The sequence below is a fragment of the Homo sapiens genome, chromosome 12, assembly GCF_000001405.40.
Source record: "Homo sapiens chromosome 12, GRCh38.p14 Primary Assembly".
Lineage (NCBI taxonomy): Eukaryota > Metazoa > Chordata > Mammalia > Primates > Hominidae > Homo > Homo sapiens.
In genome coordinates, this window is record NC_000012.12 from 30,708,306 (window position 1) to 30,735,510 (window position 27,205).

General features: G+C 36.5%; 1 protein-coding gene across 97 annotated transcripts in view; it reads right to left on the minus strand.

The window, feature by feature from the left end:
- The window catches only part of CAPRIN2 (caprin family member 2), a 45,399-nt gene continuing 19,441 nt past the window's right edge, over positions 1,248-27,205 (minus strand). For 6 of the 97 annotated variants that reach the window (XM_047429433.1, NM_001319846.2, NM_001385501.1 and 3 more), the window contains 15 exons: positions 26,663-26,901; positions 25,324-25,406; positions 23,038-23,205; positions 21,934-21,977; positions 20,343-21,020; positions 17,661-17,783; positions 16,065-16,146; positions 14,954-15,009; positions 12,506-12,610; positions 10,774-10,920; positions 8,203-8,371; positions 6,654-6,839; positions 5,480-5,580; positions 3,261-3,324; positions 1,248-2,165 (listed from right to left, as the gene is read on the minus strand). In XM_047429433.1, the coding sequence (XP_047285389.1) occupies positions 1,597-2,165; positions 3,261-3,324; positions 5,480-5,580; positions 6,654-6,839; positions 8,203-8,371; positions 10,774-10,920; positions 12,506-12,610; positions 14,954-15,009; positions 16,065-16,146; positions 17,661-17,783; positions 20,343-21,020; positions 21,934-21,977; positions 23,038-23,205; positions 25,324-25,406; positions 26,663-26,862 (2,775 nt within the window). In that variant the 5' untranslated portion in view covers positions 26,863-26,901 and the 3' untranslated portion in view covers positions 1,248-1,596. Of the gene's footprint in view, positions 2,242-3,260; positions 3,325-3,433; positions 3,478-5,479; positions 5,581-6,653; positions 6,840-6,900; positions 7,650-8,202; positions 8,372-10,773; positions 10,921-12,505; positions 12,611-14,953; positions 15,010-16,064; positions 16,147-17,660; positions 17,784-20,342; positions 21,021-21,933; positions 21,978-23,037; positions 23,206-25,323; positions 25,407-26,662; positions 26,902-27,205 lie in introns of those variants that run through there. The other 91 variants (XM_047429437.1, NM_001385506.1, NM_001385504.1 and 88 more) reach the window with 45 other exon arrangements.

Sequence of the window (27,205 nt, forward strand, 5' to 3'; positions counted from 1 at the left end):
TCACTCTGTCAGGCAAAATACCTGTGTCAGGGTACATTTTTTCATCCATAGTTCAGCCAGGGTCTGTGGGTCAGACCCGGCAAATTATTTTCTGCCTCAGCAGATTACTTGCTTTAGTTGATGTGTAATAACGCCCTTCTGCAACCCTTAATATAGTCCCGAAAATGCAACCAAAATGCTCACTTTTTAAAATTCTTTTTTTTTTTTTGAGACAGTGTCTCTTTCAGTCACCCAGGCTGGAGTGCAGTGGCATGATCTCGGCTCACTGCAACCTCTGCCTCCCAGGCTCAAGCCATTCTCCTGCCTCAACCTCCCAAGTAGCTGGGATTACAGGCACCCACCACTACGCCTGGCTAATTTTTGTATTTTTAGTAGAGACAGGGTTTCACCATGTTGGCCAGGCTGGTCTCGAACTCCTGACCTCTGGTGATCTGCCCACCTCAGCCTCCCAAAGTGCTGGGATTACAGGCGTGAGATACTGCACCAGGCCAAAAATTATTATTTAAACTGAGAAATAAAAAACCTTATTACTGAAGACATACAAGCTTTAAGTGTGAGAAAGTATCATATGGCTAGAACGAACACTAAATTTTACTGCATTTCTTAAACGTGTATGTGCCAGGCACTACGTTCAATCCTTTAGATATATTCTTAAACTTCACAATTGTCCTGATGGTAATCTATCATCCATTCACATTTTACATTTGAGAAACAGTATTTAAGAGAGAGAGATCTTAGAGGTAACATAACTTCTCTAAGATTAGCTACTAAGTGGCAGAATCAGGACTCTGAAACACAGCATTGCCTGACCACAGAGCCTCTGCTTTTCAATGTCTTAGCATTTTGCCTGCTCAAATTAAATTGAGAATCCACTAGAAAGTGTAAGTCTTATTGATGGTGGGCCAGTAGTATTACCTGTGTATCTCCTATTGTATATTACTACACATGTAGTAGCTACCCAAAGATAGCTGACTAAAGGAAGCCCATGCCCTACTGCAAAACAGAATAGCTTCAAGAAGAATGCATGATTTGGCCCATGGAAAACAGATCAAATGTTTTGATGAATGGCATGTATAATATCAGAGAAAAGTAACCCTAGAAGGAACTGTTATATATATATGTCTTATTTTAAAATAACAGCATGAGCCCATGAAGAAATAACCATTCAAGAGTTATCAGTGATGACTATTAAAAAGCAGATATTTTACCTCTCAACTAAATGTTTAATTAAATAGGAACACTGAAGGTGCATGTAACTTTTTTATTGAGGCACAACAAGGCATTGTAACTTGCCTGGACTTGAGGCAGTCAGTTTAGTAAGCTGAACGTTAATACAGTTAAGGATTAAGTGCAAACAATATACATTCACAGCTTGACTAGCGAGGCTACATCACAATTTATAAAGTGCCAGATTAGTGCTAATTGTCATTCAGCTTGATTTTTCACCTCAGGAAGGAAAACAAAAAAGTAAGGACCTCCTCCCTCTAGGAACAAAAACATTTTCCTAAACCAATCAGTCATGAGGGCAAAGACTACTTTTCCTTCAATCCCACTAATTAGAACACCATCCTTTTATTGTCAATACTGTACTGACTTTCAATCTTGATAAAGAAGATAGCCTGAAAACGTAGAATATTTCCAGCTACTTCCATAAATTGCTCCCCTGTGCAGACGTAACCATATCTGGTCTCCCTGGAAGAGCTGAAGAATTGCATGATTGCTAGCAGTTTCATGGTCTGGAGCACCATCATTGGCATAGGCTGATACCAAGACCTCTTCATTCTTCATGAGGTTGACATACAGTGGCACATTCACTGCCAGCTTTAGCATGTGAAAAATGAAAACGTAAGTGCCATTCACTGGGCAATTAAATCTACCAAGCTGAAGATCAAAAGTTTCTCCTAAGTTGTTCAGAAGAAGATCAAACACAATAGGTTGGTCTAAAGTTCCAGGGGCCAGATTAGAGGTTCTGGCTGCTGAGAAGGCAACTCGCATCTGCTGAGGCAGAGGGTAGACGTGTACTGGCAGTATGGTGGCTGCTGGATTTGTCACTGGCACATCCACAGGGGTCATGCTACGGGAGTCTCCTTGTCCAGAGTCACCACTGTTAAAGGTTTCGTTGTCTCTTTCTGGGCTGCTCACCTGAGAAGAATCACTCCACCCTGCTGTTTTATTAGCAACAGTGAGTTTCTCATAATGAAGCAGTTAGCTTTGAACACAATATTTAACATTAGTCGGCTACTGAAACAGACAAAGATACATTTTATAGTAAATTCCAAAACAAAAGCAATATATAGCTAGATTATACTTTTCTAGATTTTTCTGGTAATAGGTTTTTACATACTCTTCTAAAGCCAGAAAGGTCCAAGATAATCTTGTCTAACTGATCCTTTTTTAAGATTAAGAAAATGTGGCCCCCAAAAGGCCAGATAACTTAGCAAAGTCTAAAACTCAGGTCTGAACACTTTTTACTTCATCTTCCTCCCATAATTCTTAATTTCTCAGAGGTCATTCTACAAAGCACCTAATGTAGAAGGTCTCAAGAAAATGGAGACTACATAAAAGAACCAATTTTTAGAACTACTAGCCACTAGCCATTCAGAGATATATTGATATGGAACTAAGTCCCATGATGATGAATGCTTTTTTTATTTCCAAGTCATACACTTGTAATGTTTTAAGTGCCATACAAAAACACTGCTCACACTAAGGCAAAGGCAAATTGAATACTAGCTATTTTTTCAGAAGGAAAAGATTGCTTTCCTGTGCCAAAGTTACTCTTCAGTGATTTTTCTTCTCCCTTATACAAACTTTTAATAGTTCCTTCACATTTTAAAAAGTGTTATAACTATTCTGCTATTGTCTCAAGTCACGGTGTCTTAATTTGTGCTTATTTGAATCTATTAATGCAGTGACACTACAGTAAGAAGTACCCATTATTACAAAAACCACCATCGTGAATCATCACATGAAAAATATTCGAAATCAGCATAGTGAATATATAAAGTTAAATATGCTCTAGTGTCAAGCAGATTTTTAAAAAACACCCACCCTTTTAATTCAATTTGCAATTGGTTTCCATAGCCTATCTAGTGGTCTAGTATCTCCCTTAGTACTTTAGTACTACATTCAAGCAAATTGAAAACCTCAACAAGATAAATGCTAAAAAGCAATGTGCTTTGGAAAGAACTTGGTAGAGGATGCAGAAAGAACTAGAGACATGTGCTGGGTAAGAAAACTATTCAGCTAATTACCCTTACCTCTCGAATTTGCTCGTGGACCACCAGATGTCCCTCCTCGCTTATAACACTGCTGGAAATTATCCTAAAGTGAACATATAATATTTACCTTGGCATCAAAAATGCAGGACTATAATTGGTTATTACACAGGACTACCGGCTGGCAAATAAGATTAGTCCCCTTAGTTCTTTACCTGGCCTTCCCCAGCAACCAAAGAGGCTCAGATGTTTCCAAACACTAAGAAAAACAAAGCAAGGGCAACAGTGGCATTACTTGCTTCACCTGTTAATTAACCTGACCAATCAGATCTGTTAATACCTGAAAAACAACAAAGCACTTGGAGAATACTATGTAAAAGATACAATGCTAGGTAATGAGAGAAATTTTTAAATGTGGCATGGTCCTCTGTCCCTCATCTCAGTATAAAAGGACATCATAAAGCAAAAACACAGACTTTTCTCAACCTTGCTCTATTTATACACCAAACTGGGAAGACCAATACCAACTGTGTTGGGGTTTGGGAATTTTTTTTTAAGAAATTGATAAAAAATTATATTGTATAAATATATTTATTGCCTAGAAATATAATCTAATATATTAAGAAAAAATGTTCCAGGGGCAGTACTTCAAACAAACTCAAGTATGAAGGAAGCCAAACTTCATACAACCCATGAAAAGAATAATTAGTGGTGTAATTATTATATGCAATAAAAATTGAAACAGGACAAGAAGGTACACAATAAAAATAATAAAGCCTCTTACTCCATACTCCCAGTTGCCCCTTTGCAATAGCAACTAGCATTATCAGTTTCTTGTTCCTCAGGAAAAATGTAAAAGAGCACACAAAATACTGTAATAGTGGTATTAAGAAGAGACAGTTCTTTTACCTAAGTCTGTATTAATAAACATCCTCCCCTCACATACATTCCCTGAGGATCACATAATAACATCTAATATTTGCACGGCTGATATACACACCTGGCTCTGTAGTGCTAAGCACTTAGGTGCTTTAGTTCATTTAATTCTCAGAATATCTCATGGAGAATACCTCAGTGTTAGATGAAAAACTAACAGATGAGGAATTAGAGCTCAAAAAGTTTCACTAACTTATCTGAGGTCACATGGCAAGAGAAGTGATAAATGAGGGGTCAAACCCAAGGCATTTAGATTCCAAGATGTTTTCCACTCTTTTTTTTTTTTTTTTTTTTTTTTTGAGACAGAGTCTCGCTCTTCTTGCCCAGGGTGGAGTGCAATGGCGCTATCTCTGCTCACTGCAACCTCCACTTGCCAGGTTCAAGCGATTCTCCTGCCTCAGCCTCCTGAGTAGCTGGGATTAAGGCGTGTGCCACCACGTCCGGCTAATTTTGATTTTTAGTAGAGATGGGGTTTCACCCTGTTGGTGGTCAGGCTGGTCTCGAACTCCTGACCTCAAGTGATCCACCTGCCTCAGCCTCCCAAAGTGCTGGGATTACAGGCGTGAGTCACCACGCCTGGCCTTCACCCTTTTCAATACTGCCTCTGTGTGGATATCCATCCTACCCTATGTAACTGTAAGTTCTTCAAGGATAGGTATTTTATATATTACCAACAGAACTCAGTATGGTACCATACACATACTCAAAAGCTTGTAAAACTTCAAAACTGAATATGCTGATGTATTATAGATTCAAATCCGTAAGTTCCCAAGTTTTGTTAAAGTGGAATTTCTAACATCCTCTTATGAGTCTTTTACCATATGTAGTAAAGAAAATATGCTGGGTTCTTCAAGTAAGTATAAACAACAACAAAAAACTTAACGAAAAAGGGCTTTGCTACATTTGCTATTTAGGCAAGTTAAGCTGAAGGCAATGTAGTAAAGTTAAAATCATGGGCTCTGGAGTAAGAAAGTCACATTCTAATCTTAGTTTACCATTTCCTTGATAAGTGACGTTAGGTAAGTTATTTAACCTCTGAACCCATTTCTCCTGTGAGGTGGAAGAGCAAATGAGTTAATGCAAACAACATGATTAATAATGTCCTTAACACCTTCTAAGTTCCACATAACAAGCAATTATCATTTATCTTTCTTGGGTAATTGCAAAAACTTCCAACTCAACTCTTCTCCATAGGACTTACAAGTAGTTTTAAAACTAAGAGTGCACTTTCAGAAAACAAATTATGACTCTGCGATATACTTCAATCACCAGCTTAACATCAACAACTGTACCACTATTCAACTATGACAACTATTCTTACTTACCCTTTGGGAATAAGGTGCTCCAGAATACTCTCTAGCTTGGAACTGCAGCTGGCTATAATTTCCATTGGAAATTGAAGGGAGTCCTCTATAAGTATCAAAACCTAATAAATAAACAAACTTACATAAGATTATGGACAAAATCATATTAAACTTTTAAACAGTCTAATTCTATATTGCTTTAAAAGTTAAATTGATTATATAATGCCATCATTAGACTTATGCCCTCTTTAAGCAAACTCTACTAATATTGCTTCCAAAGTAAAACATATTTATAGAACATTGCTGTCTTCAAATAAGCCAGGTTTATAAATTTACTACTGCTAAATGCAAGGTGGGGTTGGGAAAGGGTGGTGGTAGGGCAGTTAGGTACTTAGGGCCTCTGTCTAGGGTTGTTTTGTTGTTGTTTGCTTTTTTATAGGCAGTGCCTCGCTCTGTTACTCAGGCTGGAGCACAGTAGTGAGATCACAGCTCACTGTAACCTCAAACTGTTGGACTCAAGCATTCTTCCCAGTTCAGCCTCCCAAGTAGCTGGGACTACAGGTGCATATCACCATGCCCAGCTAATATTTTTTAATTCTTTGTAGAGGTAGGGTCTCACTATGTTGCCCAGGCTGGTCACAAACTCCTGGCCTCAATGATCCTCCTATTTTGGCATCCCAAAGTAATGGGATGACAGGCGTCAGCCACCACACCCAGCCTGTCTAGAGTATTTTTGTTAATAATAAGTAGTGACTAGGACACTTGGAACCATAACAACAGTTTAAGAGAATATCACTATTATAGTCTCAAATTCTATATTCTTCTTTGTGACATAATCTAACAAATAACTAGAAATAATTAGAAAATGGGCATCTTGTAAATATGATACACTTTTAGCAGAGTTAAGTCAACAAAAGAAAAACATTACTCAAATATGAAAATTCATCCTTTGTAAAACAATATGGTGAAACTTTCCACTTCAGTAAGTCACAAAATCAATCTGCTTTTCATACAGAAAATTAGTTCCTCTGTTATGGAGAATAGGTATATTAAAAATACTTTATTATCCACAAACAGGAAATTCTCTACTACGTTGCAAATGACAAAAGGGAGCAAGGTTAGGTAAAAATGGTGTGAGTCAAGTAAACACACAGACAAAATAATTCAGTATAATTCAATTTTATTCAGGGCATACCTTTATAACCACCAGGGGACCGATAGGAATTGGTTATTAATCTCCCACCACGAGTACATCCTCTAACAGATCCCCGGCTATTGACAAATGGCTGAGTAGGTCTGGGAAACACATTCGTCTGTGCTGGGTAAAAGGCAAGGCTACCATTGCTTACTTGAATAGTTCCATCAGGATGATAATTTGCTGCTTAAGAAAAACGATTTTAGGGTCCAAGAGTTAAATGGTAATAGTCTTTATACTTAAAAGCCAATATATATCAAAATCATTAATACAATTTGCTGCCTTTAAAAATAAATAGGAGATACATATATTCATGTATATAATTCATCTACATGACTCAAATACGTAATTCATATATATAATGGAATATTATTCAGCCTAAAAAAGGAAGAAAATTTTGACCCATGCTACAACATGAATGAACCCTTAAGACATGCCAAGTAAAATAAGCTAGTTTCAAAAGCACAAATATTGTATACCACTTATATGAGGTACCTAGAGCAGTCATTTTCAGAATCAGAAAGTAGAATGGTGGTTGCCAGGGGCTGGGGGGAGAGGAGGAGGAGGAGTTAGTATTAAATGATTACAAAGTTTCAGTTGGGGGGAGATGAAAAGTTCTGGAGGTGGACAGTGGTAATAATTACACAACAGTTTGGTTGTACTTAATGCCACAGAACTATATAGTTAAAAATGATTAAAATGGTAATTTTTATGTTATGTATACTTTACGACAATTTTTAAAAAGCAGGCTAAATACTCCAGATGAGGGAGTAAAAGAAAATGGATTCTAATTAATATCTGAGAAGGCACCTGACAAAAATATCCCTTACGTAAGTCACCTGCCCTGTCTTTCAACAGTAGAGGGGAGAACAGAATCAGGTCATCTATGCCTAGGTCCCAGAATTCATATTACTACCTCTTCATCACTTGATTAGCCAAGTACTCAGAATGCTCAATTCATTTGCTCCGACTTCAGTTAAAAAACTCAATAGGGATCTGAAATACCAATACAAAAAATCTACAAGTGCTTCTTAAATTTAAATTAAGAAATGAGTACAAAGTTACCTATTCTTTCATGATTTAGAACAGCATGAAAAATCAAAATAGCCTCCCATCTCTAAGCAAACAGTACAATGAGCATACTAAGTCATATCTTCAATCTTTTATTATAAGATAGAAAAGGACAGATAACCATTTGTTAAAAGGATTAACAGAATGGTTTCAAAACCTTCATATAAGCAGCCAGATAGTGCCCATCTACCTCAATCACTGTCTGTGGTAATCAAAGCAAATAGATTTAAAAATACAAACCTACTTCAAGGTTAAATCCGTCATCTAAGTTCTATCTCTACAAAAATTAAAATTAATAGGTAAACTTAACACAAAAAAGGGCATTAGGTTTTTCTCAACACTGGAGGAACATGTAAAGAAATAATGCTTACTGGTCAGGAAAATACTTCTAAAGTGTCACTACAGACTTCCTAGACTTGCTGTCCATTCAATTGGCTGTCCCTCTAAGTCTTCCAAATATCATATGCAAAGATCTTACCAGTCTCTTGAGAATGGACAGTTTGTTCTACATGTATAGATGGCAGTTGGCACTGGGGTGGTGTTTGTGTACTTGCTGTGGTAAAACTTTGATTGTAGCCAGGTGAATAAGGGGATTCTTTTATTTCTTGTTCTTTTCGTGGAGGCAGAGGTGCATTAACGTTAAATACCTTAAAAGACAAGGACACACTGAGTCATTTGGGAAGTTTCAAAGAAAATGCTTAAGGGTGGTATCCAGCAAAATTGTACATTCAAAAACTTCTATTTTGCAGGCAAAGGACTTGAATAGACATCTCTCCAAAGAAGATAAATGGCAAATAAGCACATGAAAACATGCTCATCATCATTAGTCATTAGGGAAATGTAAATCCAAACCATAATGCCATAAAATTTTATACCCATTAGCAGGGCTATTATCAAAAAGACAGAAAATAAGTGTTGGCAAGGATGCGGAGGAACTGGAACCCTCATGCATTGCCGGTGGGAATGCAAAATGGTGCAGTCGCCCTGTGGAAAACAGTATGCTGCCTTTTCAAAAAGTATAGAATTAACATATGATCCACTAATTCCATTTCTAGGTATATACCCAAAATAACTGAAAGCAGGACTCAAACAGATATTTACACACCCATGTTCATAGCAGCATTATTCAGAATAGCCAAAAGGTACAAACAACTCAATTTCCCAACAGATGAATGGATAAGCGAAATGAAGTACATACATAAAATGGATTATTCAGCCATACAAAAATGAAATCCTGATACACTGTATAACGCAAATGAACTTTGAAAACATTATGCAAAGTGCAGTAAGCCAGATACAAAAGGAAAAATGTTGTAGGATACCACTAATATGAGGTAGAATAGGTAAATTCATAGAAGCGAAGTAGAATAGAGGTTAGCAGAGCTGTGGAGGGGGTTACAAACAGGAAGTTATTGTTTAATGAGTACTGAGTTTCTGTTTGGAATAATGACAAAGTTCTGAAAGTAGTGATGATGATTGCACATTATGAATATACTTAATGCCACTGAATTGTATACTTTAAAAAGATTAAAATGGTAAATTCTGTTACATACATTTTACCATAGTAAAAAAAAAACAAAAAAACACTCCTACTTGATTCCTGACAGATTTTACACCTAACAGCAAAAGTTAATCTTCCTGCTATTATGCTATCATAATAATGCTGAGAATAAAAGCTATACAAGGGTAAGGGGTCTTTTTTTCAAAAACTAAAGATGAATGAAATATTTTACCATTTAATGAATCTTTACCACGTGGCAAGCAACGATCTGTCCTTCTATGACTCTCTAGCTCCCTGATTCTGCTCCATTTTTCTTTACATCACACAGCACCTGATATACAGGTATTTGTCTCCCTAGCCCTCCTACCTCCATACTAAAATGTTAAGTTTCCTGAGCATACTTTCCTTTTTTCACTGCTACAACCTCAGTGATTAAGAACAGTGCCTGGTTTTGTAACTATTCTTTAATCAATAAATGAGTAAGAACCAATGTGTACCGGGTAGGATTCAAACAGGCAGAGAAAACAGATTGGCATGAGCAAAAGGTACTGTGACAAGAATATATAAGGCAAGCTCAGGGGACTAGTGTGACAGGTTATAACAGACTTGAAAAGGTACTGAGTGTCAGAGTACTAAATTTCATTCTGTAATGGAACACTGCTTGCTTTTAATTAGACAAAAGAAAAGGTAAAACCAATGTGGCTATACTGTGCAGGATGAACTGACAGGAAAAGAGTGAAAGCAAGGAACTATTCTATCTAGAAATAAGATATTCTAAGTGATCAGGTGAGTGAATTCAGCTGTCTGGACTCACCAGCCGATCTCCCGGGGTGGTGCCTGCTTTCCATGCTACTCCACTGGCCCCACTACCACCATCACTCCGAAGTGCTTGGAGTGGGACACTAAGCACCAATAGGAAGGGTACTTATTGGCTCACTAAGGCTTTTTTCCCCCACAAAGAACTGTTTTATACTAGTCTGTGTTTAGAGAATAAACATACCAAACTAGCTGTAATATTATTTTTTTAAAAAGCCTTAATTGCAATTTGTAGAAAAATACGTAATTCAAAACACCACACAAATCTGAACAAATCTCCAAAAACCATCTTGAGATCAGGATAAAATAAAATGAAAGTTTCAGCAATGACAGAACACCCAAGTATGTGTCCGGTATTTCAGGTTACTGATGTTAGGGAATAATACTAGTAAAGATATTAGTAATGGTTAGTATTATTAAGCTGTTGCTAGAAATTCTGTTTCTCACCCACACATTTTGTTTGTTTAATATGGATCCTCAGCTTTGCCTGCTACTAATTCTAAAAGAAGGAATAATGCTCTGATAAAACACCCATTTAAAATTCTAGAGGCTGTGGATTTCCTATTCTTCTGCCACAAACAAGTACTGCCATTGGCCAAATATAATTCTACCAACCCAAATAAATTTTACAAAAGGCAAACTTTTCACATAGTATCCAATAATTATGTAAGAGAAACAATGGCTTTTAACAGGAATAATGAACTGCAATCATCATTCATGTTTCATACTCACTGTCTGCATGGCTTGAAAGGGTGCTGTGTTAATGGTTACTGAACTACTACTTGCTGGAGGTGACTGGAAGCCCTGTTCAGAGCCCTTTGCCATGGGAGGATTTGGAGAAGCTAGTGAAGACGGTTGCTTGCCTGGGGGAATTGCTGCCTGGGGAGGAGAAATGCAGCATCAGCCAATCACCTGCCATATAACAAGCAGTTAACTTACTCTAAAACCCAAACTGGCATAAGTCAGCAAGTTCTTTAGGATGACATTTGGACACAGGAATGCAAAAGAATAGCTTTTGCTTACAATTTCAAATCTCAATTGCTGAGGATGCATACCAGTATTTGCTTTGCACAGCTTGCTGACTAAGTGAAAGAGTCTTACCAATAATCAGTCTAACAGATGAGGGGCTGAACTTTTTATACGCACCTAGTCCTTTTCAAACCCTGAAATGGTAATTTCCAGTTAAGAACCTAATATTATTCAAAATTTATACATCAGAATTGGATTTAAGAAAAAACTTGGATTAGTTGTTTAGTGTTAATTTTTCTCTATTTTAAAGACTTATTAGTTAGTAGGTTTCTAAGTCAGCTACCTAAAACAGAAAACAACTCCGATCCAATTTAAGTAATCCTTACCTAAGGAAGCCACAAGTTCTTGACATAACAGATTATAAATCCAAAGGCTTAAAAAAAATACCAAAAACCAATCTCAACTAGATTGTGAAGCAGACAGCTGTGAGTTACTTGGTAACAATCACTTCTTCCTCTTCTTAAAATGAGGAATGAGATAATTTAAATTCAGATCAAGCCAGCACCATAAAAACTAAGGATTATCTATATTTTCTTATATTCTATAATGAATACATATTCTTCTATAACAGTTAACAAAAAATACCTGATAGTTGCTAAATTACTCCTCAAAATTCATCCTACTATGTCCATCTCAAGGATTTACTCAAACTTAGTAAAAACTGTAACTTAGAATTGAAATTGAAAGCACAAACATAATACTGTTAAAATGTTTTTATTTATTTATTTTTTTTGAGATGAAGTATCACTTTGTCACCCAGGCTGAAGTGCAGTGGCACAATCTCTGCAACCCCCGCCTCCTGGGTTCAAGCAATTCTCTGTCCTCGGCCTCCTGAGTACCTGGGACTAGAGGCATGAGCCACCACACCCAGCTAATTTTTGTATTTTTAGTAGAGATGGGGCTTCACCATGTTGGCCAGGCTGGTCTTGAACTCCTGACCTCAAGTGATCCACCTGCCTCGGCCTCCCAAAGTGCTGGGATTGCAGGTGTGAGCCACTGCATCTGACCGAAAATATTTTTGACAAAGTTAGCCAAAACAAGATTGTAACTCATTCCAACTCAATAAGTGCTAATATTAATAAAATAAAGTTATTGAGCTTTCATTTATACAAATAAGAGACTTTTCTCCTAAAAGTCCTTCAGTGTAAATATAGTGGAAAACTTGACTTAATGCTACCTACACTTTTCATTTTTTTAGATTAAAAATGGACATTTATTGCACTAGATAAGGCAATACCATATTAAATCTATTTATATGGCAAAGCTACAATAAAGTTACCTGTAAAAGTTCCAAGATCACAATATCTATAGAAAGCAATACATTAATAAAGTATAAATGTTACATCATTCAACTAATCATGCCTGTAATTCATAAGATAAACTGGTTCTGCTATTCTTTAAGATACAAAAGAAATTAAGACAATTGGTCTTTTACCTCAGGAGTCTCTGAGGTCATAAACTCTGTTTCAGATCCAGAAGAAGCCTGATCGGTAGTAACCAAGCAAGCATTTGAGCTACAAGTAACTGGAGAAGAAGTAGCCTAGACACAGGAAAATACAAAATATTGTAAAAGGCACATTTTGTTCACTTTATATTTCTTGGGCCCTGGCCTTCCTAATATGTTACTCTTACTGAACACGCACATGTGTCAAGCACTCTGCTAAACACTTTATACGTGTTAATATATTTAATCCTAACAGTAATCTGTGAGGTAGGTACTATTCTCATTTTATTGACAATTAAGCAGTGGCAAAGAAAGGTTAAGACATTTGCCCAAGATCATACTACAATTAAGTGGCAGAGCTGAGATTCAAACTCAAGCAGCCAGCTAGCTACACTGCCTGTCCAGGCCTGGTCACCAAAACTACACATCTCATCCCATGTTCACTGATTCTTGGCCCTGTAGTAGATAGCATTCACGGGAAGGTGAGCTCCGGGTACGTTTAACACTGTAGGCACAGCTCTGCCAGAGATCATAGTATAACTGTGCTTTCATGCTAAGTGCTATCAGCATCCTAAAGAGGCAGGCTGAAATATAAATAGGAAGAATAAGCTCTACATAAATCAGAATGGCACCAAAAATTCTAGTGAAAAATCAAGCTGATAGCATATGTAAAATAAAAATTGGGAGAAAGCACATTAGGAAAAAAAGTTGTGACAACTGTAACCAACAGAAAATTAAAAGAGTGGCTAGGAAAGAATTCTATCGCACAACAGGTATTCAAATACAGCAGAGAGACACCCATAAAAATCTGGCAATAGCAAGATCTAAAGTGTCAGTGAATCCACTCCTTTTATCTAAATGCTTCTATGTGGTTCTCAGAAGCCCAAGTAATAAAATAGGTGAACTGGAAACTAATGAAGGGTTACAAAACAGAGAAATCATGTTTCAGTGACCTTCTTGAAGGAGGCATTATGATATGTTGCTTTTTAGGAAGGAGACTGGGGATTGAGTTTTAAGATCTTATGGAAAAAAATATTTGAAATCCTTTAGAACATTTTATATTACCCAAGTAAATAGGCATAACTTAGATCTGGCCAAAATATTAGAACCATTATAAGATTAGAGCGTTTCTAAAACTAGGTCGTTCTTCTGGCTCTGTCATTAAAGTAATGAGACAAGTGCCCAAGAAAAGTAGAACTGGCTGTTGTGGGGAAATAACTAACTCTGTTGCTAAGGGAAGATTCACAGATGCTAAATTAAGGCATCTTAGGCCACTTGATAGTTAATCTTAAAATGGCTTCAATTTCAGTTAAAAGGTTCATTTAATAACAAAGACATTTACATTAGTATTTAGTTAGAAGTGATGGCAGTTCCTGCTTCCAAATTAGTGCTTTTTAAGTAGACCAGTTGGAGGTGGGTTATTGGTGAATAAACATGATATTTGAAACCAATGTTCCAAAAAATGGGTATGAAGATTCATCCAGGAAGCTTTTAAAAATATAGGCAACACCCTAGAAAATTCTGCTCCAACAGGTCTAAGATCTTATCTAGAAATGTATACCTTATGACATATAAAGTGGGATGGCTTCGATGCAGCCATCCCACAGCCTCCACCAGAGAACTACTAAGCTAGACCAGTGCTTTTCAAAAAATTTACCTTGTCAATTGAAAGCCTTATGTAGAACCCTAAACAGCTAGAACAAAAAATGTAACTGCTTTAGTAAAAGCAGTCAGTGAATTGGAGGAAAGTAGGAAAAACCCCAATATACCCTGCTCAACAAATACAGTTTGAAAATTAAGGCTGAGTGCAGTGGCTCACACCTGTAATCCCAGCACTTTGGGAGGCCAAGGCAGGTGGATCACGAGGTCAGGAGCTCAAGACCAGCCTGGCCAAGATGGTGAAACCCTGTCTCTACTAAAAATACACAAAAATTAGGCAGGTGTGGTGGCAGGCCCTATAATCCCAGCTACTCGGGAGGCTGAGACACAGAACTGCTTGAACCCGTGAGGCAGACCAGACGCTGCAGTGAGCCGAGATCATGCTACTGCACTCCAGCCTGGGCGACAGAGTGAGACTCTGTCTCAATAAAACAACAACAACAAAAATTAATTTCTTTCTTCAGACACTTTACTATGTTAATAAACTAAATTACTTAAGTAGCTCAAGAGAACATAATATTCTTAGACAAGGTACCCTCTGATTTCTTCAGGCTTGGTCTCTCCTTACTAAAGTCAGCAAACCTGTACTATATGTTTTCAGCATAGTCATCGGGGAATCATTTTAGGACAAGTCGTATTTAATCTACAAAACTAGATATGCTTAGAACACTTTTAATAATTTCATTAGGTACATGAGAATCAGTAAGTCTGATTATTCTTTCCAAAGCAAGAGCTTCTTCCTTGAGCAGCAAAGAATAAAAGATTAATTTGGAAAGTTACCTGTAACGGCTCTTGAAGAAAATCACTTTGACTGGACAGATTTTGTTCTTTAGATGCTGCAAGGAGTAAAATAAACAGTAACTACTGAGGGAAGACAAAAGCTTACGCATATCAACTAGGAGGAAACTAAAGTTTACACTTCACAAAAAAGACATTAGCTGGAAGGACTACGTCTCAAGTTCATCATGCACTTTCTATTAGAGTTTTAACAAGAGAGAACTGTAGAAGAATAGAAAATACTAGTTCCATCGGTGACACAGAGTGATGCTTTAAGGTTAAATGGACAAAAGTAGCATTTCAAGACTTCCAAAAGAAAAGAACTAAGACATTTAAAAATAACTGATAATAGTGACCAGGAAGGTAAGACCCAGGCTACCATGTATAGTAATTAACTGATAAACTTAATTTTCACAAATTTCAAAGTCAATCTTATCTGGATCATCCATTCAGTTTTTTTCTGATTATATATATTAACATACTTTTCAATTATATAGTTTGTTTTGTTTCTTCTTGTTAATATCCATCACTTTTATTAATTACTCTCTATTTACTCTCACTTCACCCAGGAATTGCTACACCAATCTTCAAGCTGGTATATACTGCTCACTAAAGCTGGACTAGCTTTATGTCACTCCTCTCTGGAGAGAAACAAATGTGGAGCAAAAAGCCCAAGCTTTGAAGCATCAGACCAGATTTGAATGCAGGCTCTTTTGTTAGTTACTGTGTTAATCACTGTTCTACACTTCATTGTGGTAATCACACCCGTAGTTAAGACCCAAAAGCCTCAACACTAGATTTAGAGTCCAAAGGAGTCAAGCAACTTCTAGTCAGAATTCACTCCACCAACAACATAAATTACAAAAACAGCTATTGAGTATTTCCATTCACCCATCCAGAGCCTTTCTCCAAAAAATGAAAACAAGTCAGTTAAGTACACTAATGTCCTAATGGTAATTTACCCACATATAACTGGTAACAGATGGATACAGTTAGAATAAATTAATACACCAACATATTAGGACATCTAAAATAAAATCATTTGAAAAGACAACAACAACAAATAGCTGTTAGCTCAAGACGTTTGCTCCAAGTCTTTAGAATGATTACATACCTACGGGGCTACCTGGAGTAGCTGAAGGCGGTTGTGACGTTGGAATTGCACTTGAAGGTTTGTCAAAGTCAAGAACAGACTCCTAAAGATATGATTTTAAATAAAGAGTGGAAACAGAGATTACTCATTTAAAAGCTATTACCATTGAATTATTCATGATGCTGCCTATAGTCTATTAGCTACACATAAATATCTAGCTAAAGCTATAGGTATCTAGCTAATCACTGTCTCAGGATGCCAAAACTAGTCTCCATAGATAAAGAAATTAAGAATTAAAAATAAAATCTAAAGTAACTGCCATAACTTAAGGCTGTGTAGAGTGCTAAAACCACAAGAGTAGGCCGTGCGCAGTGGCTCACACCTGTAACCCCAGCACTCTGGGAGGCTGAGGTAGAAGGATCGCTTGAGCTCAGGAGTTCGAGACCGGCATGGAAAAAAAGCGAGACCTTGTTGCTACTAAAAATTTTTTGAAGAATTAGCTAGGCATGGTGGTATGTGCCTGTAGTCCCAGATGCTCAGGAGGCTAAAACAAGAGGATCGCTTGAGCCCAGGAATTCGAGGCTGCAGTGAGCTTTGACCACACCACTGCACCCTAGCCTCGACAAGCAGAGTGGGACCCTGTCTTTAAACAAAACAAAACAAAAGCCTACAATACTAAATCTAAGGCCTAAGTCAGAAAAGAAACTCTTGACCTTACTAAGGTCCTAAACATAGCCATCAATCCTAGTCTAATCAGAACCCCCATTTTTATTACACCCAACCAAAGAGCATCTATTTATCTCAACCATTTACTAGCTCATGCTGTTAAAACATTTTCAAGATGAGAAATCACGCTCTTGTATCTGCCTATCTCGGTTCTCTCAGAAAAGTTTCCAGTATTTTGCATACTTAAGCTACACATTTGCAGGGAGCATTTTAGTTCTTACATCTTCAACTAATCTGATGGTATAGGCAATTCCTACATTTTGCAAATAAGTGTTGGAGGTTAAATAAACAGCTGGTAAGTAACAGAATTTAAACCCAGGCCCATATTCAAAGCTCAGGATCTTTTACTAAACAAAAATACTTATTTGACTACTTTAGCCCTCAGTAATCTCATACCATTCTCAAATTCTGTGTCTGTATCTCACAACTTAAACATATTGTATAACACAATTTATCATTTAACTATTGATTTAACATAAATTTACAATCTTCTACAACTGGAATATAAATTCCTTGAAGGCAATGAATGTCTCATTTTCTGTATCTGTACTACAATGGTATCTAACAATATCAGGCACAGAGTAGGTTCTCACAGTTCTCAGTACTGATAATCTATAGCAGTAATGATCCTTGAGCAAGTTAAGCTTTTCACATGCTTAATTCATTTTTTTTTGTTCTAACAAACTTAGAAAGTAGGAACAATAATCCTCATTTTTCAAATAAATAAACTGAGGCAGAATCAAGTAATTTGCCTAAACTCCAGGCTAGGAGAGCTAGGAGGCAGCAGAGCCAGGACTTGACAGAATAATCTATGCTCTTAATAATTTCACTGTAATGTTTCCAGTCAGAAGCCCCATGAATATCATTTAAGATTTTGTAAATGACTCATACTTGCATAAAGTTACAAGTTCCTTGAATCTGAGTCATCAGATCCTGCAGTTTTTCTTTCCTCAATACTGGATCCTTCGGAAGGGTAGAGGAAGAACCTACAGGCTGATGCACAGGCTTAGGCACCTACAAGATAAACCCATAATGTGTAAGAGTGAAATGCAAATTCAAGAGCCTAATCTAGGAAACAGTTTATCACTACATCTTAAAGGAAAAGAAAAAACAGCAATGTTCACTTATCACAGGTAAAGAATTTTCTCATAAATACCTTTTCTAAATAAGCAAACTTTAAACAGATTTTTCCCCTTCACAATTTTCATGGAACTCTTTCTAAAACACAAAATATTCCTTTTAAAGGGAAGATCCAGCAGAACTTCCTTGTTAAGAGTGTTTTCATTATGGACATGAGTTACCATATGTCCTCTAGGATAAGATGCCACTGACAATAAGACATACCAATGATTTTTTTTTCCAGGGCAAAAATTACTACTACCACATTAAATGTACATCCCAGTTTTAAGATGTATCTGATTTCAGAAATCAAAATGTAAATACATATATAAGTACATACATACACATACCCTAAAATTGAGAGGGATACATATATTTTGTTATAAAGTAAGTACACTCTTGGGGGCTACTGATATCCATCCTAAATTGCTTAAAATTGATGCACATTCTGAATTAGACCAATTTACAGTTACTTTTTATAGCTGTCAACATGCCAGTCTCCACTAGCTCCTCTTCTCCACCTTCTAATCAAAGAAGACACACAGCTAAGTTTGTCAAAGGTACCAGATAAAATAAGAGTTAAGAGACCATAAGTGAGTACATATGGGACTCTTTTAGGAGGAAGGTATGAACATCAGTGATTAATTTCATGTTATCTAGTCTTTTGGCTTTGAACTCTATTCTGCACTTGACTGTACTTAGTCAATATTCTAGACAGCTCAGATTCCAAGAAAGACAGAAAAATACTATATTACACATAGAAGTATCCTCTCCTCTCAGTAACTGAAAAACCCTACAACTTCAATATAACGCTATCTGTCCCACAAAAGCAAATTAAATATGTTTTGACCTTTCCAAATATGTAACACTGATTTTAAATGCAATTCATCAAATAGCATGATAATATTCTGGTATGATAAAGGTTCTGCATTGCTACACCTACTGGAATTTTAAGTCAGGTTTTTAAAAGCAGCTTTGAGATATTAAATTGGGTTTTTAAATGTTTTTCAAAATAGTTACATTACAGTTACTGTTGTGTGATATTTGGTTAATAAAATAAAGCTGACAATCTTCTGTAGGGTCAGGAAGAAGCTAAAATTAATATTAGCAACTTGAGAGAGAAAGGAGAGCAAAATAGCCAAATAACTCTAAAATTTTGTTCCCATACAGAATTAAGCCAAAGGTAATTTACTTATAAAATGCAATGCTTTGCTTTCCCCAAGCAAAATGTTTTTCATATTATTATATTAGAGGTCCAATGGTTTATCAGAAAGCCTTTAGCTAAAATGGCACAGATGTGCAAGGAAGACTACTCCATAGAGATAGAGAACACTGGAAGCACAAGTTCACATATCTCAGCAAATGAGGTGGTAACAAGTTTGCATTATAAATAGTAGTAAATAAGTAATTTACAATTTAATAAAAGGCAACCCTAACATAGCACTGTACCCAAGAATTATTCAATGTAAGTGTTATCTACCTGAAACAGGTTATTTATCCTTAAAAGAATGTGGCCTTATGTTTTAACTGAATCTTGTTCTCCAAAACCTAACTACAAAATATTTAATGCCAACAGTTTTCCTATCTTTGGAAAAATTCTCATTTTGAAATGGAAATAGAGAACTAATTCAAATCCTTCCCCCAATACTGAAATATCTGCAACCACCATAAACCTTCTTCATAAAGACCTGGGCTAAACTGAGTGACCATAAATGAGTAGAAGAGAAGCAAGAGAATATAGAAAAATATAACTTGTCAGAAAAAGTTATTCGTATAGCAGGTAAATGACAACAAATGAAATACAGTATCTCCCATCCTGTGACAAGCATTTGCATTACTCACTTGTTCACATTATGTCATTATGGTCTTATCTAAACTATCTACTATTTTCATATCATGTTATATTGTTAAAATTTGGCATTAAAACAACATTTTATAATTGCAGAAATTTCATCTCAGATTAGACTTAAAGACAGACTAGATTAACTCCCAGTTTTCAAGGGAAAACAATAAATCTACCCACTAAAGAGGGTGAAATATTTTATACATTAACTTCACATGGGCTTTGAAGAGAACTAAGGCCGGGCACAATGGCTCACGCCTGTAATCTCAGCACTTTGGGAGGCCGAGGCGGTTGGATCACGAGATCAGGAGATCCAGGCCATCCTGGCTAACACAGTGAAACCCCGTCTCTACTAAAAATACAAAAAAATTAGCCAGGTGTGGTGGCATGCGCCTGTAGTCCCAGCTACTCAGGAGGCTGAGGCAAGAGAATCGCTTGAATCCAGGAGGCGGAGGTTACAGTGAGCAGAGATAGTGCCACTGCACTCCAGCCTGGGTAACAGAGTGTTTCTCCATCTCAAAAAAAAAAAAAAAAGAGAACTAAAAAGTCATTACCACGACACCTTATTTATGCCTACACTTACAGAAGCAGAATGATACAGATCAACTCACATCTTTGGGTTCTGTGTTCAACTTCCTGGGCAGCAGCTGGTCATTTGGTATGAGGCTTGCTGTAGCTACTCCCCAGGACTTTGGAGAAATCTGTGACTGTGATGTTAAAGAGTGTTTTTGACTCTCAACATTGTTTTCCCAGGATTTTGGAGTCTCTGGCTGTTTTGAATCCTGTTCTTCACACATGGGAGTGGTCCATGACTTGGTGGTGTTCTGTTCGCTCTGCATGGAAGGTGTCCAAGACTTTGGAGTTTGCTTCTTTGGATCTTGTTCTTTCTGCAGCTGAACTGGCCACAGCTTTGGTGTCTCCTGTTTCTTTTGTTCCTCTTGAACATACCCTGCTTTGGATTTAGGTGTATCTTGCTTCCACTGGCTAGGAGATGGCTTGGATTTGGAGATCTCCTGCTTCTTCTGCTCTTCCGGCAGAGTAGACCTGAGTTTTGAGGTGTCTTGTTTCCTCTGTTCTAAGGAAACTGCAGGCTTGGATACCTCCTGGTGCTTACCAGAAGCCTCCCAGGACTTAAAGGACTCCTGTTTCTTCTCTTGACCATCTGGTTCAGTAAGCATATCCCAACGTTTTGGGAGATTTGGTTTTCTAGCATAATCTGCTTCCCAAGGTTGCTCTTCGCCTTGTTTGTTTGAATAATCTACTTCTGTCATATAGCGTCTGTTAAGAAACTAGATAGAGAAACAATGCACTTAAGTCACAAAATTCATAGAAGACCTTGGAGGGAATATTCAACTCTATTAGTATTGCTATGTCCTCTGATCTAAGTTGTTGCACTAATATTAAATTTCTGTCCTTATTCTACTTGAAAAGACTTTCCTACTTCTCTTTCCTACTTTCCTACTTTTCTGTCCATTCCTTTTTCCTCAATTAACAGAAATACAGACTTCGATACATCAAAAGTAGCAACTTCTGTTGGACTTGCCTAAGACTGGCAAGAATTGCTTGATTCGGATTCTTCTACCAAGGCTGTTCCGCCTTTGCCAGCCTTAGGACCATTCTCCCCAGTTGACTCCCTCAAACATTAAAAGGCAGAAGATAGTTCAACTTCAAAGTTAAATTATGTAACCTTAAACGTGACATTTCCTAAGTTACCAGTGTTTTCTTTATTTCCCTTATACATCAATGACACTGTTTTTGAATCTCCCATTCTTTTCAGCTTCCCATGAATTTCAATGTCACTTCAGAAAGAGAACAAATACCCTTTTCTGCTACCAATGTGAGTAAATTCTGGAGAGAGCAAAGTCCTGCGCATCTTAAAGTTCCTCTAACACAGGAGCCAAAAATAGCTATCATTTGGGCAGTTCGTGTGCCAGACCAAATTCTAAGTAATTTAGAATTTAGATCAACCTCTTTAATCCTCACAATAACCCCATGAAGTAGTCATTAACGTTATCCCTATTTTACATATGAGGATAACAGACACAGCTGGACCAGATTTCTTGCCCAAAGTCCCTAAGCTAGTAAACTGCAGAACCAGGGTTCAAGCTCAGGCAGTCTGGCTCCAGAGCCTTAGCTTCCAACCATAACCCTATGCAAAAGGCTGAAAAATCAACATCAGCAAATTGTCTTTCAGTATCTTACCTCTTGTGGTTGTATCTCTGGCTGGGCAAATTCCATTAGAGACTCTGGGATGATAAAAAGAATCTGAATAAATACTAGGTGAACTGTAAGTTTTTAGACAGATTACAACTATAATTCATTCTAGCAACATATTTCAGAAGACTCGTAACAGAAAAAGGGTAATATAATCAAGTATATTGATGGCAAGAGGAATTATATTCCTTGTTAGTCCAAAGCATGTGGTCTGAGGCTAGTTCAAACTAGTAGCTCTCCTTATGTAAGACACTTTACGAAAGTCAAGTTTCAGTTTAAAACTGATATCTGATTGAAAATAACACTATTTCTTCTTACCCTAAAACACAGCTTTTTTTCAAGTTAGCATTATAGCTCATGTCCCATGGGGTAAAAATTGGTCATCTCAGCTTGAAATAGAGCCCTTAAAAACCTCTTACAAGCCAGTTTAAGGTTAGGAGGGGATAAGAGAGTGGAGATACTTAAGCACTGCACTTAGTATTAAGAACTAAGGGGAAATAAACATGGAAAATGGTTTCGCTCTTGCTTATGGCTACCAGAACCCTGCCTGGACTACCTCCTGAGAAGAGGTATTTCTTTAATAAATCCAACTTTGGTAAACAAAAGCAGAAGTGCCACTTGCTCAAAGTATTTCTTCCCCAGGCAAATGATAATTTTAAAAGTATATTTTCTTTACTGACTTTAGCACTTTTTTCCCCTGAATCAGTATTTCGACCTTAGGTTAATTACATCCTCATTCCACTACAGTACTGGTTTCTACTCTAACTTCCACTGTAAACAATTTTAAACAGAATTATCCTACTAGTAGTTTAACAGAGAAGTTTATTCAAATTCCATAAATGGCTCCTTTTAACCAATGTATTCTTTTGGGACAAAGTACAAATTAATATTTCTAATAAGTTTCACTCGGTAAATCATGGTGATAAAGCCTAGAGATGTTTTATAAACCTAGGTTTATCCTGTGGTAAGTAAAGATTTCCATGCATGTAGAACCTAACAAATTAAAATAAGGCAATCACTGCACAATACGTGACTCATTTGGGGTATTAAAAAATGCAACCACTATAAGGATTTTCAGAGGTCACAACAAACCTGACTCTTTGACAGATTCAGTCTTCGATAATTGTGTTTTTTTCTCTGATTGTATTAGCATTTCTTCCTCCAGTGGTACTTCCTTTTCCTTGGCATTTTTGGGAACTGGGATACTTTCAAAATAGCCTGAGTTCAGCAATTTAGACAGTAGATCCTTCAAGTGTTTGTCTAAGAAAGAGTGATTAAGACTTAATTGTCACATGACCTAATTGAAAATTACTGGGAATAGAAATCCTAATTTTATCCTAGTTGTAGTACATTGTTACAATAGTTTACATTGATGTACATAGTACATCCTTACAATAGTTTACAACAGTTTACACTTTCATGGTACTGACTGGAGAACTTGTCAGTACCATGAAAAGTAAATATGCAGTCCATCTTTATTTTATGCTGAATCAATATGAATTTTAATGAGATCAGAATCTCAAAAGTTCAGCAAGTCACTTAAGTTTCTCTGGACCTCCATTTCCACCATTTGAAAAATGACTAAAAATCAGAGACCCTAATCAAGTATGTCACAAAAGCACACATCTATTCCCTGAGATGAGAAATAAGTCATTTTTCCTATCTGCTCCCAAGACATCACAGCTAGCAACCACTCTACCTTCCCCAAGTAATTAAGGCTTTAGAGAAGTAAAAGTCAGTTCCTCAAAATCTATTAGATTGGGTTAGAAAATCCTATATTGGACAATCTCTATTAGATTACTAATATTATTAATCTATTTTAGAAAACCCTATCTTTTACAAACTCTGAAGTATTTTTCAACTACAAAATTCCATCATGAAGATTTTACTCGAGTTATGCTGTTTGTCCTTCCTACCACCTGACCATTTGATGATCAAGAAAAACCTTAAAATGATGCTGAGGTCACTACACTACAAATAAGTCTAAAGTCATTTTATTTTAAAAATCCATTAAAAACATAATCCCAAACTTAGCAGAGTTTCCGTACTTCATTTTAGTCTATTATTCCTTTCACAGGAGTACTATGACATAGATTTTGAGTCTATTATTCCTTTCATAGGAGTACTATGACAGATTTTGTCTTTTAAAAAAAAAATCAGCTTTCAGATATAATTTACAGGCAAAATCCTCCTATCTTAACTATACAGTTTTAACAGATATTTAGTTGTGTTACCACCAGAACCATGATATAGAGGATTTTCATCAACCCAAAAAATTCCTTACTACCCCTTTTGCAATTAATTGTCCTCTCCTGACCCCCTGAAAACCAATAACCCACTATCATCCCATTATGTCTTTTCTAGAATTTCATATAAATGAAATCTTACAATATGTACTCATTTTATGTCTGGCTTCTTTCACTCAGCATAATTATTTTGAGATTCATCTATGTTGTTACATGTATCAATAGTTCCGTCCCTTTTTTATTGGTGAGTAGATTCCACTGCATGGGTATACCACATTTTATCAATTTATCAGCTGAATAAAGCTAATATGAACATTCATGTACAAGTACTTATATGAACACGTCTTCATTTATCTTAGCTAGAAGACTAATTGCTTAGCGTTATAAGTGTATGCTTCATTTTATTAAAATACTGCCAAACTATTTTCTAAACTCATTTTGCATTCTAACCAAGAAATAAATTTTTAATTTTGATTTAAGCTTGAACAAACTTAGAAATCTTAAGATAGTTATAGATATTTGGATTTTTTTTTAAAAGGAAGCAATCACTGGTAACAAAAATATTTACTACCTTCTAGTGAGTTTTCATTACTCTAAGCTAGTACACAAAGCTATGTACTTCATGTCCAGTCATTTGTATTTGGTCATTTGGCCAAAGTCTATTTAGCAAGCCAAAAGAACTCTCTTTCCACAGACCACTTCCAGATCAATAGACAACGTTTCAATAGACTATAAAACCATTCATATATTCTTAGGCTGATCTGGTAGATAAGCCTTGATATTAACAATGCATGAATTTAAGATTCTTAAATAGAACAGGTACTACCACACAGAATAGAAAACTGAACCCCAAAATGATCAAGCTAGTGTTGAAGCCAGTACTTAGCTCTATTTCCAAATCATATCAACTTGCCACTTCAAAACTCTCCCTGAATTCCACTTTAGTGACTAGGGTTATACAATAGCTGCTTTTAACAGAACTAAACAAAGGGATCATTCTCCCAGTGAATATAGTATTGTCAGACATGTAAGTTCTGATGGACTAACACAGTTTAGACCCTCAATATCATACTAAACTTCTAGACATAAAGTTTAGTATTTACTGCATAAGTCCAGAGTAGAGAAAACTCACATGTCGTTCCTACCACTGCTTTCTCACTACCTTCCAAAAGGTCCCAAAAGTACAAGGATGACTGCTCCATCTGGTCTTCAACACTGACAAGGAAAAGCAGCAGCAGAACAAAGTGGCTTTAGAAGTACATATATATGGAGCAGCACAATTTATGCAATATAACCCATTAACAGACAAGACATTCAAATGTTAATTTTGTCTTTTTGCTCTTTGGAAATAAAAAAATTGAAATGTATACAAGATGACTAAATGCCTGCTTAAGGATTTCAAATGTAAGAATTTTTCCTTAAAACAACTAAAATATGGATTTTACCAAATAAACCCATTAAAGAATAGACCAAAAAGAGTTTAAAGCTGCCAATGCAGTATCATTAGTTCAGGTGTATGCCCTACATAAAAGAACAGTGAAATTGAAATATTAAGAGCCGCATTTGACTTTAAAGAAAGCAGCTTATTTAACAAATTATGTTTTGCTTATATTTCATATATTAAAGTGAAGCTACATTCCCTGAACCCACAAAAGTGAAGGAGGCAATGTATAGATGATGACGATGGAGTAGACTATCAGCATGAGAATTAAAAAATACATGGCTATATATAGGCAATTAAGAGTTCTATTAGGCTTCTTTCTGATCAGAGACTGATTTCTGGTAACCGTTGAAATCTGACTCTACTTTAGTAGGGCTAACAAATACAAAGCTGGAATAGCCTGCATCTAACAAAGCAAGAGCACAGCATCTGTCCCCTAGCTGATTTACTCCATCAAAACAAAAAGAGCAATGGATCACTGTGAGGGAAAAAAAATCAGACAGCCCCAGTTTGCAGGTTTTGTATTTTAAACTATCAAATGTATTTATCACTAGTTATTCACAGCATAATAAGAACACCAAATAATTGTTACTTTGAAAGTTTAATGACACCAGCCAAGTTAAATATTATTTACCTCTACTTAAGTATAGCAGGAGTAAGAAGGCAACTCTGAGAAAATTACTTTAAAAGTTTTAGAAATAGATATAATATTATACTTGTACAGGATTAAAATTTGATGCTCAGACCTCATTTTTTTAAAAATCAGTATTACAATAAAGAAGCATGTTAATGAGACCATTCACATTCACTTTCCTTCCAGACAATCTGTCAACCCTGTCAGACTCTGGGCCAGCCAAGGTTTCCATATTGAATCAAATTAATACTTTCTTAAGTTCTCTCTCCCCCTCTCTAACACACACACACACACACACACACACACACACACACACTCTCTCTCTCACATACACACACCCCTAAAAAGCTAAAGTGTCAAGTGTTTCATTTCAGGAAAATCTTTTCATTAGCTTACCTCAGACTTTCATTTCTTTCAGGGCAGGTCAGTTTTGAAAACTTAATGAGGTAGTCAAGTTCTTTTGAAGGCAAATACACTGCACCATTCAAACCCCCTTTGAAGTCTTTTTGTACGTGCTCCTGTGTCAAGTTCTGCAATACATACTGAACTTGAAGTATAGTTCGAAGCTTTTTCTTCTCAGCCTCAAGTTTTAGCATGTGCTCCCTTCTCTGGGCCTTCTTTTGCGCTTTTAGTAGCTGTTAAAACAAATGGCTAATTAAGGGTAACAATTCTCTACCATCCCATATTAGCAATACGTATCTACAAAGTCTAAACCCAAATAGCTGAGATTAGATGATAAATCTCATGACTGTCAAACTACCAGTTTAGTCTGTCTCCTTTTTGAGCTAAAGAAGTCACTGAGTAATAAACTGGTTTGTCTCAGGTAACCAGAGCCAAGGGGGTCAAATATCTGACTCCCAAATCCAGGATATGTCTAGAACCGCTAATATCACCATGATGAGTAGCGAAGTACCAATCATTGATGTCCATATTCATTTC